The sequence below is a fragment of the Homo sapiens genome, chromosome 5, assembly GCF_000001405.40.
Source record: "Homo sapiens chromosome 5, GRCh38.p14 Primary Assembly".
In the NCBI taxonomy this organism is placed as follows: domain Eukaryota; kingdom Metazoa; phylum Chordata; class Mammalia; order Primates; family Hominidae; genus Homo; species Homo sapiens.
In genome coordinates this window covers 62406702-62421136 of record NC_000005.10, presented here as the reverse complement: position 1 = coordinate 62421136, position 14435 = coordinate 62406702, and the positions used below count along the sequence as shown (strand labels likewise).

At 42.9% G+C, this 14435-nt stretch overlaps 1 protein-coding gene across 2 annotated transcripts in view, besides 2 other annotated features; it reads right to left on the bottom strand.

Annotated features, from left to right (window-relative positions):
- IPO11 (importin 11) overlaps window positions 1-8374 on the bottom strand; it is a 215820-nt gene extending 207446 nt beyond the window's left edge. The window contains exon 1 of one of the 2 annotated variants that reach the window (NM_016338.5): window positions 8208-8374. Coding sequence is in view for 1 of the 2 variants with exons in the window: in NM_001134779.2 (NP_001128251.1) it covers window positions 2010-2123 (114 nt within the window). In the remaining variant the exon portion in view is untranslated. Of the gene's footprint in view, window positions 1-2009; window positions 2254-8207 lie in introns of those variants that run through there. The other variant, NM_001134779.2, reaches the window with a different exon arrangement.
- Window positions 7884-7933: a silencer, noted in NCBI's record as "silent region_16052". NCBI's record gives its function as "represses an Ori minimal core promoter by ATAC-STARR-seq in GM12878 lymphoblastoid cells {active_cell/tissue: GM12878}" and the evidence as "EXISTENCE:reporter gene assay evidence [ECO:0000049][PMID:35858748]".
- Window positions 8264-8453: an enhancer, noted in NCBI's record as "active region_22597". NCBI's record gives its function as "activates an Ori minimal core promoter by ATAC-STARR-seq in GM12878 lymphoblastoid cells {active_cell/tissue: GM12878}" and the evidence as "EXISTENCE:reporter gene assay evidence [ECO:0000049][PMID:35858748]".

Genomic DNA, 14435 nt, shown 5'->3' with positions numbered 1-14435 from the left:
GAAGAGATGCTATCTCACTGGTTATCAGGGATTTAAAATCCAAACAGTGAAAAACTACTTTATGATCAGACTAGCAAAAATTACAAAGTCCAAAAATATTCAATGCTGGCAAGAATGCATGGAAACAGAAACTCTTAAACACTGCTACTGGGAATATCTATTAATACAACTTTGGAGAGCTATCTAGCTGTCTCTAATGAAATTGAGTATATATTTTGTGTATTCTATGACCAGGACACACAGAGGGTCACACACCACATAAAAATGGCGGCTCACGCCTGTAATCCAACACTTTGGAAGGCTGAGGCGGGTGGATCACTTAGAGTGCAGGAGTTCAAGACCAGCCTGGGCAACATGGAGAAACCCCATCACTACTAAAAAAACAAAAAGTTAGCTGGGCATGGTGGGGCACACCTGTAGTCCCAGCTACTCAGGAGGCTGAGATGGGAGAATCACCTGAGCCCAGGAGGTCAAGGCTGCAGTGAGCCACGATCGTGCCACTGCACTCCAGCCTGGGTGACAGAGTGAGACCCTGTCTCAAAAAAAAAAAAAAAAAGTTTCAGTCAGATATGGACCACATATATACGACAGTGATCCCGTAAGATTTTAATGGAGCTTTAAAATTCCTATCACATAGTGACATCATAGCCATCCTAAGTCGTAGTAAATCACATTACTCACACGTTAGTGGTGATGCTGGTGTAAACTAACCTACTGCACTGCCATTTGTATAAAAGCAGAGCACATACAATTAGGTACAGTACATAACACTTGAAAGTGATAATAAGCAACTATGTTACTGGTTTATGCATTTACTACATTATACTTTTTTTTTTTTTTTTTTTGAGACGGAGCTTCACTCTTGTTGCCCAGGCTGGAGTGCAGTGGTACGATCTTGGCTCACTGAAACCTCCATCGCCCGGGTTCAAGCAATTCTCCTGCCTCAGCCTCCCAAGTAGCTGGGATTACAGGTGTGTGCCACCACGCCTGGCTAATTTTTGTATTTTTTTAGTAGAAACAGGGTATCACCATGTTGGCCAGGCTGGTCTCAATCTCCTGACCCCGTGATCCACCCGCCTTGGCCTCCCGAAGTGCTAAGATTACAGGCGTGAGCCACCACGCCCAGCCTACTTTTTTTAAGAGTTACGATCTCTGTCACCTGAGGTAGAGAGCAATGCCGGCATCATAATTCACTACAACGTTGAACTCTTGGGCTCAAGCAGTCATTCCACCTCAGCCTCCTGAATAGTTGAGACTTGGGACTACAGGGATGAGCCATCATGCCATGCTAATTTTTTTACTTTTTGTAGAGATGGGGTCTGGCTATGTTGCCCTGGCTGATTTCAAACCCCAGACCTCAAGCAATCCTCCCACCTCAGCTTCCCTAAACCCTGGGATTACAGAAGTGAGCCACCAAGCCCCACTACTATACTTCTTATCATAATTTTACAATGTACTACTCCTATTAAAAAAAAAAGTTAACTGTAAAACAGCCTCAGACAGGTCCTTCAGGAGATAATTCAGAAGAAGTCATTGCTATCATAGAAGATGACAGCTCCATGAATGTTATTGCCCCCGAAGACCTTCCAGTGAGACAAGATGTGGAGGTGGAAGACAGAGATATTGATGATCCTGACCTTGTGTGTACCTGAGTTAATGTGTGTGTTTGCGTCTGTTTTAAACAACGTAGAACTACACAATGTATTTGTGTTTTAAGCTAAGTGTTACTGCAACAGAGACAAAAAGTTTATAAACTAAAAGTTACAATAAGCTAAGATTATTGAAGAAAAAAATTTCTTAATAAATTTATTTTAGCCTAAGTGTACAATAATGCCCTAGGCCTTCACTTTCACTCACCACTCACTCACTGATTCATCCAAACCAATTTCCAGTCCTCCAAGCTCCATTCGAGGTAAGTGCCCTGTACAGATGTACCATTTTTTACTTCTACACTGTATTTTTACAGTACCTTTCTAAGTTTAGACATGTTTAAACACACAAATACTTACCATTTTGTGACAACTGCTTACAGTATTCAGTGCAGTAACATGCTGTACAGGCTTATAGCCTAGATACAATAAGCTATATACCACATAGCCCAAGTGTATAATAGGCTGTACCATCTAGGTTTGTTCATATGATGTTCATAGAACAACAAAATTGCCTAACGACCCATTTCTCAGGATGTATCCCAGCCTTAAGCAACTCGTGACTGTATCTTCTATGACCCAGCAGTTTCACACCTGGTGCTATAATCACAGAAACCCCTGCACAGGCATATAAGAATAAGGAGACAAAGGACTAGGTTGTCTGCATGACCTAGTTATCTATATTAACAGAGACTTGGAGACAATACGTGAACATCTTTAGTGAAATATGTATAAAATGTATCTTATCCCTTGTACAATTTGTTCCCTCTGGCTGGAAAGCTCTGGTCTCTAGATAAAAGCATGTCTTGCTCTTTGACAGCATTCCATTCTGCTCAAGTTGTCCTCTATTTAAAGAGGTCTCCACTAACTGCCAATCTAAAAGGGCTCACTCCTCAACCAAGAATCTCTATGTTCCCGATATCCTTAATTTTTCTGCATAATGCTATTAACTATATGAATGCTGTTCATAGCACTATACTGTTAATAGCTTACTGTACTGGAAACACTTACATTTTAAACTATATGATATGTGTTGGCTGGGTGCAGTGGCTCATGCCTGTAATCCCAATACTTTAGAAGGCCGAGGCAGGTGGATCACCTGAGGTCAGGAGTTTGAGATCAGCCTGACCAACATACTCTACTAAAAATACAAAATTAGCCAGGCATGGTGGCGCACGTCTGTAATCCCAGCTACTCAGGAGGCTGAGGCAGAAGAATCACTTGAACCCAGAAGGCGGAGGTCGCAGTGAGCCGAGATGGTGCCACTGCACTCCAGCTTGGTCAATAAGAGTGAAACTCTCTCTCAAAGAAAAAAAAAAAAAAACTAGGCAGGCGTGGGCATGGTAGTGCATGCCTGTAATCCCAGCTACTCGGAAAGCTGCAGCAGGAGAATCACTCGAACTTGGGAGGCAGAGGTTGCGGTGAGACGAGATTGCACCATTGCACTTTAGCCTGGGCTACGAGTGAAATTCTGTCTCAGAAATAAATAAATAAATAATGGCTAGTTGGAGAGTTGGAAATAAAATAATTAGATAGTTGGAGAGTTGGAGGAGGGGTTACACATAAGTTAATAAGGGGAAAGAATTAAGATTTTGGGCTTTTCCAACTGATTGGTGCCTGCATGGCTCATAGGAGGAAAACAATGTCAGGAAGGTTGAAATACACAACGTTTTTGACATGAATGTCAAGTATTTTAAGACAACTACATATGTCAGCGTTGAAGAGAGACCTGTGCTAAAAAGCCAGATTTGGGAGTCATCAAAATAGAGGCAATAGTTGAAGTCACAAATGAGACCATTCATGAAGAGTGTGCATTGAAGTCCTTATTTCCTAAACTACGTAGTTTGGATTTTTATCTGAAGGTTTTCAGAAGAGAGCAGGGTAGTGCCTCAGAGTCAAACATCTAAAGTGGTCAGAGAAAAGAGAAAAATAACCAACAAAAGACTGGCTAAAACCTAAGAAGGAAATAAGGAAAATATGGTGTCCCAGAAGTATAAGAAGAAAATTTCAAGAACGAACAAGTAGTTAAAATGGCAAATGATTAAACAGATTCCATTAGATTTAGCAACAAAGATATCAATGGTGATCACCACTACATCAAATTCAGTGACTGCTATGGACTGTCAGCCTTCAAAATACCAAAAAAAAAAAAAAAAAAAAAAAAAATTAACCAATAAGGAGGTGAAGAAAATGAATATAGAGAATTCTTTCAAGAAACTTAAAGGAAATAAGCTGGGCATGGTGGCACACACAAGTAGTACCAGCTACTCATGAGATTGAAGTGGCAGGATCACTTGAGCCCTGAAGTTTGAGGCCAGCCTAGGTAACAAGAGACCTTGTCTCTTAAAAAAAGGAGAAAAAAAAAAACTAAGAAAAATAATTATAGATAAAGCTGAAGAGGAATCTAAGAATCTAAGGTAAGGAGCGTATATTTCAGATAAGACTTGATTTGAGGCCAGGCACGGTGGCTCACCCATATAATTCCAATACACTTCAGGAGGCCAAGGCCAGTGGATCGCTTGAACCCAGGAGTTTGAGACAAGCCTGGGCAATGTGGCAAAACCCCATCTCTACAAAAAAAAATTCAAAAATTAGCCAAGCATGGTGGCCTGCGCCTCACCTGTGGTCCCAGCCACCAGAGAGGCTGAGGTGGAGGGATCGCTTGAGCCTGGGAGGCAGAAGTTGCAGTGAGCCAAGATAGCACCACTGCACTCAAGCCTGAGAAACAGAGTGAGTACTCTGTCTCAAAAAAAAAAAATAAAAAAAAAAAAAGATAATAAGAGACTTGGGTATGCTTAAATCCTTGTTAAGTTAGTACTAGTTGAAAAAGGAGTAACTGAATGTTATGGATTGAACTGTGTTCCTTAAAAATTCATGTTGAAGCCCTAACCCCCGAACCCTCAGTATTTGGAGATAAAGTTTTTAAGGTGATTAAGATAAGATGAGGTTGTTAGGGTAAGGCCCTAAACCAATATAACTGATGCCATTATAAGAAAAAGAAACAGCAGGCCAGTGCAGTGGCTCACGCCTGTAATCCCAGCACTTTGGGAGGCTGAGGCGGGCAGATCACCTGAGGTCAGGAGTTTGAGACCAGCCTGGACAACATGGTGAAACCCGTCTCTACTAAAAATATAAAAATTAGCCGGGCGTGGTGGTGAGCGCCTGTAATCCCAACTACTCAGGAGGCTGAGGCAGGAGAATCGCTTGAACCGGGAAGGCGGAGGTTGCAGTGACCTGAGAGCGGGCCACTGCACTCCAGCCTGGGAGACAAGAGCGAGGCTCCGTCTCAAAAAAAAAAAAAAAAAGAAAAGAAAAAAAAAGAAAACAGAAAGATACAGCAGAGGTGCATGTACACACAGGATGACCACGAGAAAAGGCAGCAAGAAGGTGGCCATCTGCAAGCCAAGGATGGAGGTCTTACAGGAAACCAATCTTATCTGCACCTTGATCTTAGACTTCCACTCTCCAGAACTGTGAGAAAAAAAATTCTCTTGTTTAAGCTACCCAATATAAGGTATTTTGTTGTGGCGGCCCTAGCAAACACATGAAGGAAATATTGCCCGTAAGGAGAAAAAACTCAGAATATCATTAGAGATGGACAGATAGAGGTCTTCATGTTTGCAGGTGAAACAGAACAGAAAGCAATGAAGTTCCCACTCAATGTATTTCATTTCCTCTATGAAGCAGAAGGGAACTTTATCCAGTAAAGAGTAAAGAGGGGGCCGGGCGTGGTGGCTCAAGCCTGTAATCCCAGCACTTTGGGAGGCTGAGGCAGGGGGATCACCTGAGGTCGAGAGTTCGAGACCAGCCTGACAAACATGGAGAAACCCCGTCTCTACTAAAAATACAAAATTAGCTGGGCATGGCGGTGCATGCCGGTAATCCCAGCTACTCAGGAGGCTGAGGCAGGAGAATCACTTGAACCCAGGAGGCGGAGGTTGCAGTGAATTGAGATCGCGCCACTGCACTCCAGCCTGGGCAAAAAGAGCAGAACTCCATCTCAAAAAAAAAAAAAAAAAAAAAGTAAAGACGGGGCCGGGCTCACTCCTGTAATCCCAGCACTTTGGGAGGCCAAGGTGGGTGGAGTTCAGGGAGGTCAGGAGTTCAAGACCAGTCTGGCCAAAATGGTGAAACCCTGTCTACTAAAAATACAAAAATTAGCCAGGCTTGGTGGCAGGCACCTGTAATCCTAGCTACTCTGGAGGCTGAGGCAGGAGAACCGCTTGAACCCGGGAGGCGGAAGATGCAGTGAGCAGAGATCACGCCACTGCACTCCAGCCTAGGTGACAGTGAGACCCCGCCTCAAAAAAAATAAAGAGGAAAGGTGGTGGGTTAATAGCCACCATGATAAACAGGAGCAGTTAGCAGGGACACACAGGATTGTTAGGCTGCCTGTACAGTACCCAATAGACGTTTGTTATTGAATGAACACCTAATTGTCATTCATGAATTTTAGTCCGTTTTTAATATAACAAGCTCTGACAGTAACCAGCAAAAGAAAAGCACTGGAATGAGTTGGAATCTGGGTTATAAATCTAGGTATGTGTGACCTTATGCAAGGCACTTACCTTTCTGGGCCTCAGTTTCATCAGACTGGATAATCAGCATAAGATCACCTCAGATTAAAATAAATGATGCTATAAATTTTTATACCGGTTTGTGCATTACCTCAGTGTTCTTCAACTGTTACCAACCAAAGTAGTGCATCTCAAGATTTATTGAACATTCCTTTCATCTAGATAACTTGTTAAAATTGCAGATTTTGATTCAGCAGCTCTGGATTGAGCCTGAGATCATGCATTTCTAATAAACTCCCAGGTGATGCTATATACCACAATTTGAGTAGCAAGGGTAAAGAACACTGATGCAACTTAAGCTCTACAAAGCTTATAACTGTGGACTTATCTGTAATAAGTCTGATAGTCAGCAAACCAAACACACTACAGACTCACACCAGCACTAAATGTGTTTTGCCATTCCTTAAACGCTCTGAAATTAACAGTCCCTATTTGAAGCTGATAAAGAAAGGAAAAAATATTACCATCAATAACACTAAATTAGAAGTGAGGTTACATACATACACACACACAGGTACAAATATATAACACAAAGGTCAAAATCCAAATAATCAAACATTACCTTACCCAAAATTTGAATATTTTTATTGCTGAGAAAAAAAAATTTTGTTTCTGGAAAAATCTTCAGTGTATTTTAATAGCCACATGCCTACAAGGATCATGCTGCATTCTGGTTTGATTCCAAATGCAAATATATTCAAACATCACAAAATCTAAAAATTGTTCTATTAATGATCAGATAATCTTTACATATTTGTTTAAAACCTCTAACATTACCACAGCCAAATGTGTTTGTGGTGAAAATTCTCTTTGGCCTTAGAAGTTCAACTAGGGCGGAGACCACCCTCCTACCCTGAGACTATAATATATGGCCACAAGCCACTACTATAATTAATTGTTTCTACTATACCCTGTGCTAGGTTACTGCAGAAACAGAGAAAATACCAGTCCCATCATAACCAAAAGGGAAAATGTTTCTACTTTCACCGAAATTTTCCTCAGTGATGAAAGATGTAATATGTGTCATGCAATGGATGTCTCCTATAGAAGAGTCACCCTGCCCTTAATCTGAAGCTCCTCTACTGAACAGAGAAGTTTGAAATAACATGAAAATGGAGGAAGAAAATTCCTATCCCAGGAGGGGGAAAAGCATTATGGCTACAAACTATTCTTCCTTCTGAAGAATAACCGAAATCTGAAGGGCACTACCGCGCTACAACTGAGCTCGTTTAAATTATGGAGGGGAGGAGGTATGTCAACTGCAACCTTGGCACTAGTAGGTAATTTACCAGTCCTTGCTATTTAGTCAAATCACTTTCAGATAGTACTTCTCTCATTCACCAACATGTCACAAAATAATAAAGAAAAAATGACACACGTAATAAGCAAAAGTAGTTTTGCTGAATCACAAATACCCCCAAATATAAATCTACAGGAGTCGCTGAGCTTGAGAATTGGCGGCCATACCTCTCCATGAAGCTCCTCTCTATAAACGGACAACTACCTTCACTTTTTCATTAAAAGCATGTAAGGGTCTAATGTTTAAAGCTATCACACTATTGCTATTAGCAACAAGGTCGCGTGCGCAGTAACAATGCACAACGGTCTTATACTCGAGATAACCACTTTATCTCAAAATTTGCACCACCTATCCCCCAAGGGCAAATGCATCACCCAGGTCCGCAACCGCGGTCACGATGGGTACACTCGCCTCTGCTCAGCCTAGCATACGGTCCCTCCCACCCCGCACCCTGATTGCTCCACTACCATGCTGCCCACTCCCGGGCTGCCTCGGCCAGCCCCCAGTTCCCCGGGTTCCTAAGGTTGCGCAAACAGCCAAGTCTGCAGGCCGCCCTTGCCTCGCTACCGTTATCCCTCATCTCCTGGTAGCCCCACTTTCCTCCCGCCTCTCGGGACTCGGGTGCCCAACCCACTCCCTTCCACTCCCGCGCGCTCGGTGGCTCTCGGGCCGGGGCCTCACCGTTTGGTTCGGTCGGGAATTGCCCGGCCCTCCCGCTCCCACTTCCCAACACGAAGTGGCGTCGGTTGGTCCCTCTCCCCACGCTGCCAGACCCCACGCCGCCGCCTACTGATGCCGAAAGCGGCTTCTAGGAACACGCCATGTTTGGCGTCGCAGCTCCAAACGACGCGGACGCGCGAAAACTACGTCACAGGAGACCAGCGCGCATGCGACCGGCAGAGAGAGAAGGCGATAGGCGAACGGCGGGAAGGGGAAGGAGGGGCTTTGTCTTTGAACCAAAAGGCGCGGGGTATCCAAATCAGTTGTGTGCGCTTGCGCAGTGCGCTTGCGCAGTATAAAGAGCCAGGAGTCCGGACTAGCCGGATCTGTCACCATGGAAACCATAGGTCTGGTTTCTCCGACTCCCAGGGAGCTCAATTGTTTCCTGCGTTGATTGAAGCTTCAATCAGAACCATTTCACGCTTTATATTCTAGATATCAATAGCGGATCCGTCACAGCAGAGAAGAGTTATTTAAAGAATCTTACTCCCATCAGTCCACCCTCCCTCCCGCAAATATTTATTTTTTAAGTTACCCAAATTGCTTGGCGCTTACTCCTGAGTAATAGCAAGAGTGGAAAAATGTAAAAGGACATAAATCCAGTTCTGCTTGCCTCTGCTAAAAGCTAGCATAGTCACCTAAATTTTCTTATCCTTAAAAAGAGAACTTACTCAGGCGCAGTGGCGCGCGCCTGTAGTCCCAGCTACTCCAGATATGGAGGCAGGAGGATCACTTGAGCCCAGGAATTCGAAGCCAACCTGGGACATATAGAGAGTTCACACACACACACACACACACACACACACACCCATTTCAAAAATAATAAGGGGTGGGCACAGTAGCTCACACCTGTAATCCCGGCACTTTGGGAGGCTGAGGCGGCCGGACCACGAAGTCCGAAGTTCGAGACCAGCCTGGCCAACATGATGAAACCCTGTCTCTACTAAAAATACAGTAATTAGCCTGGCGCGGTGGCGGGCGCCTGTAATCCCAGCTACTCAGGAGGCTGAGGCAGGGGAATCGCTTGAACCCTGGAGGCAGAGGTTGCAGTGAGCCAAGATTGCTCCACTGCACTCCAGCCTGGGCAACAGAGCGAGACTCCGTCTCAAAATAAATAAACAAATAAATAAATAAATAAATAAATAGACTCCGTCTCAAAATAAATAAATTAATTAAAAATACACACCAACTATATATTTCTTAAAAATAATAATAGTAAGGCCAGGCACAGTGGCTCACGCCTGTAATCCCAGCACTTTGGGAGGCCGAGGCGGGCAGATCACCTTAGGTCAGGAGTTCGAGACCAGCTTGACCAACAAGGAGAAACCCCATCTCTACTAAAAATATAAAAAATTAGCTGGGCATGATGGTGCACCCCTGTAATCCCAGCTACTCGGGAGGCTGAGGTAGGAGAATCGCTTGAACCCTGGGGGCAAAGGTTGCAGTGAGGCGAGATCGCGCCATTGCACTCCAGCCTGGGCAATAAGAGCAAAACTCCGTCTCAAAATAATAATAATAATAGTAAAAGAAGTTGTAAGGAAATAGAGTGTTCAAAAATATTAATAATAGAAAACCTTTATTGCTAATTTAGAATATTCCAGGTACAGTTTTAAGATCTTTATGGGAATTATCTATTTTAATCCTCAGAACAACCCTTATGAGGTAGGTATTTTCTTTATGTCCACTTCACAGATGAAGAAACTGAAGCACAGAGAAGTCAAGTAGCCCACCTAACGTCAAACAGCTAGTAAAAGGCCATGTTAGGATTTGAACCAAGCTCTGCATTCCAAGAATGTCGATCACACAAGGGCTGTTTTTTAAAGTAAAAAGATAAAATTACCTAAACAACCACCAATGACACAAATGATTAAATCACAATACATCCATACATAATAAAATACAAATTGACCATTTAAAATTATGTTGAGGTCGGGCACAGTGGCTCACACCTGTAATCACAGCACTTTGGGAGACCAAGACGGACAGGTCACCTGAGGTCAGGAGTTCAAGACCAGCTTGGCCAACATGGTGAAACCCTGTCTCTACTGAAACTACAAAAATTAGCCTGGCGTGGTGGCATGCGCTTGTAATCCCAGCTACTCAGGAGACTGAGACAGAAGAATCGCTTGAGGCCGGGAGGCGGAGGTTGCAGTGAGCCGAGTTCGCACCACTGCACTCCAGCCTAAGCGACAGAGCGAGACTCCATCTCAAGAAAAAATAAATAGGCCGGGCGCAGTGTCTCATGCCTGTAATTCCAGCACTTTGGGAGGCCGGGGCATGTGGATTGCTGGAGGTCAGGAGAGCGAGACCAGCCTGGCCAACATGGTGAAACCCTATCTCTACTAAAAATACAGAAATTTAGCTGGGCTTTGTGGCAGGCACCTGTAATCCCAGCTACTCGGGAGGCTGAGGCAGGAGAATTGCTGGAACCCAGGAGGCAGAGGTTGCAGTGAGCCGAGATCGTGCCACTGCACTCCAGCCTGGGCGGCAGAGGGAGACTCTGTCTCAAAAAAATATATATTAATTAATTAATTAAACAAAATAAAATTATCTTGAAGTGTATTTGTTGACATGTTTACACATGCACAATGCATTGTGAAAAAAGAGGGTTGCAAAACATTATGTTCAGAATGTCCCACTTTTGGAAATAAATAAATGCCAAAATGCTAGGAGGGTTTATCACTAGTTGGATGGGTATTGTGACCATGCTTTATTTTCTTTTTGCTTAACTGTATCTTCTGATTTTATTGAAAGATAGTACTTCTCAGGCTTGGAGAGGTGGCTCACACCTGTAATCCCAGCACTTTGGGAGGCTGAGGCAGGCGGATCACCTGAGGTCGGGAGTTCGAGGCCAGCCTGATCAACATGGAGAAACTCCGTCTCTACCCAAAATACAAAAATTAGCTGGGCGTGGTGGCACATGCCTGTAATCCTAGCTGCTCGGAAGGCTGAGGCAGGAGAATGGTTTGAACCCGGGAGGCAGAGGTTGCAGTGAGCCGAGACTGCACCATTGCACTCCAGCCTGGGGGCAACAGAGCAAAACTCTGTCTCAAAAAAAAATAAAAAACAAAGATAGTACTTCTCAAATTTTAAGTGTTCATAGAATCACATAGGGATCTTGTTAAAATACAGTTCATGATTCATTTAGTCTGAGGTGAGGCTCGAGGTTCTCCATTTCTAAACAAATTTAGATCTATGTTTCCTGGTAGGTAGAATAAAAGATGTCCATGTCCTAATCCCCAAAACCTGTGAATATGTTACTTTACAGAGCAAAAGGGATTTTGCCAATGTGATTAAATTATCCAGGATAATCTTACTATGGGAAGATTATGCTGGATTATCCTCTAGGTCCAATGTAATCAGAGGGGTCTTTATAAGAGGGACGCTGGAGTGTCCAAGACAAAGAAAATATGCCAGTATAATAGATGTCAGAGGGATGCCAGGGCCATGAGCCAAGGAATGCAGAAAGCCTATAGAAGCTGGAAAAGTCATGGAAACTGATTCTCTTCTACAGCCTCCAGAAGAAACTCAGACATGAAAACAATTTTAGACTTCTAACCTCCAGAACTCTAAATTAATAAATGTATCTTGTTTTAAGCCACTAATTAGGTTTGTGGTACTTTGCTGAAGCAGCAATAGAATATATGCTCAAAAGTTATAGGCTCTCTAATTTGCTACCCTTCATTTATTATTTTAACTTGCATAAAATTGAGTCTTGGATAACTCTACATTATAATACAGCTCATTAGATGCTTATAAATTAACATAATTCCTAGATTCATTTTTGTTTATAATAAACTTGAAACAAGTTTATTATTTCCATAAGGACTGATTATGTAAATCAGTCCTGGGAGGCAGAGGTTGCAGTGAGCAGAGATTGTGCCACTGCACTCCAGCCTGGGCAACAGAGCAAGACTCCGTCTCAAAAAATAAAAAAAGAAAATAATTTGTCAATTTATATTCAAAGACTAAAATGTTCACGCAGTTTGAGTAAATAATTCCATGCCTGGAAATCTATACTAGAGAACCAATTCAAAGTACTGAAAATATTTTCCAGGTATAAACTAAAATGTCTATGGCTCTATTTTTATAAGAACAATGGAATAGGCAGGATTTAGTAAACCCTTACGCATTCACAAGGTGAAAGTTTCTGTAGCAGTTTTCTTTCTTTCTTTTTTTTTTTTTTGAGACGGAGTCTCGCTCTGTCGCCCAGGCTGGAGTGCAGTGGCCCGATCTCAGCTCACTGCAAGCTCCGCCTTCCGGGTTCACGCCGTTCTGCTGATCTCGTGATCCGCCCCGCCTCGGCCTCCCAAAGTGCTGGGATTACAGGCGTGAGCCACCGCGCCCGGCCAACAGTTTTCAATATTAATTATTCAGAGTGTGTAATAACTTGGAAAAGGGCTTTTTTTTTCTTTTTTGCTTTTAGAGACAGGGTCTCTGGCTATGTTGCTCTGGCTGGTCTCAAACTCCTGGGCTCAAGTGTTCCTCCCATCTCAGTCTCCTTAATGAAGCTGGGATTAGGAGCATGCACCACTTTATAAAATAAAATATTTTTATTTATTTATACTATAAAATATTGTTTAAAATAAAAAATACATAAGTATAAATATACAATATAAAAATAGATTCTAGCCAGGTGTGGTAGCTCACACCTCTGATCTCAGCACTTCTGTAGGCTGAGGTGGGAGGATCACTTAAGGTCAAGAGTTCAAGATCAACCTAGGCAAAATGCCATCTCTACAAAAAATACTAAGATAAGCTGGGCATGGTAGCATGAACCTGTGGTCTCAGCTACTCTGGAGGCTGAGGTGGGAGGATCGCTTGAGGCCTGGACAGGGAGGTTGCAGTGAGCCATGATTGTGCCACTGCACTCCAGCCTAGGCAACAGAGCAGGACCCTATCTCAAAAATAAATAAATAGTAAAAATAAAAATAGACTCTAACCCACAAATAGAATTCTATGTACCCTAATAATTTGGTTTTTATTGTATTTGGAAACCTTCTAAAAGCTTTATTTTGCAACATGATATACATTATTTTATGATGTTAAAATAATTAATAGAGAGGCCATTAGACTGAGGCTGCTCCAGCACCCTGGGTTCCTACAGAAGCAAACCAAAACCCAACTCAGTGTATTTTATTTGCCATGCTTCCACATTCACCCTATAAAAGCCTTTCTTTGGTGCGCCTTTAACAGAGTCCCAAACTGATTCATGAATCACTGTCTGCTCAAATAAACATTTTAAGATTTTACTGTGCCTTAGTTTCTCTTTTAACAATGGTAATGATGTGGAAACATTTATCTGACAAATGTTTTTGAGAGGTATCAATTATGTAATATTCACTGACAAGGTTTACACCTATGCTGGTATTAAACAGAGACCATAATCATCTTCTTTAAATAATTGTATTAATCTAACATAGTCTTTATGATTATCTAAAAATATTTAGATCATTCTTTTTTGTTTGTTTGTTTTTGTTTTTGAGACAGGGTCTCACTCTGTTGCCCAGACTGGAGTGCAGTGGCGCAATCTCAGCTCACCGCAACCTCTGCCTCCTGCCTCAGCCTCCAGAGTAGCTGGGATTACAGGTGCACACCACCATACCCAGCTAATGTTTGTATTTTTAGTAGAGACAGGGTTTCACTATGTTGACCAGGCTGGTTTCGAACTCCTGACCTCAAATGATCCACCCGCCTTGGCCTCCCAAAGTGCTGGGATTATAGGCGTGAGTCACCATGCCCAGCCACATATTTAGATCATTCTAAAGAATACATTCATAGAAGAATCTTGTTTATAGTATTCAGGATTCCTTCCTTCCTTCCTTCCTTCCTTCCTTCCTTCCTTCCTTCCTTCCTTCCTTCCTTCCTTCTTCCTTTCCTTCCTTCCTTCTTCCTTTCCTTCCTTCGCTCCCTCCCTCCCTCTTTTCTTTCTTTCTTTGAGACGGAGTCTTATTCTGTCACCTAGGCTGGAGTGCAGTGGAGCAAACTCAACTCACTGCAACGTCTGCCTCACTGCAACCCAGCCTGGGCCACTATTTTAAAAATATAACATTTGAAGCCAGGCACGGTAACTCATGCCTGTAATCCCTGCACTTTGGGAGGGCAAGGCGGGCAGACCACTTGAGGCCAGTTCAAGACCAGCATGGGCAACATGGTGAAAACCCATCTCTACTAAAAATACAAAAAAAA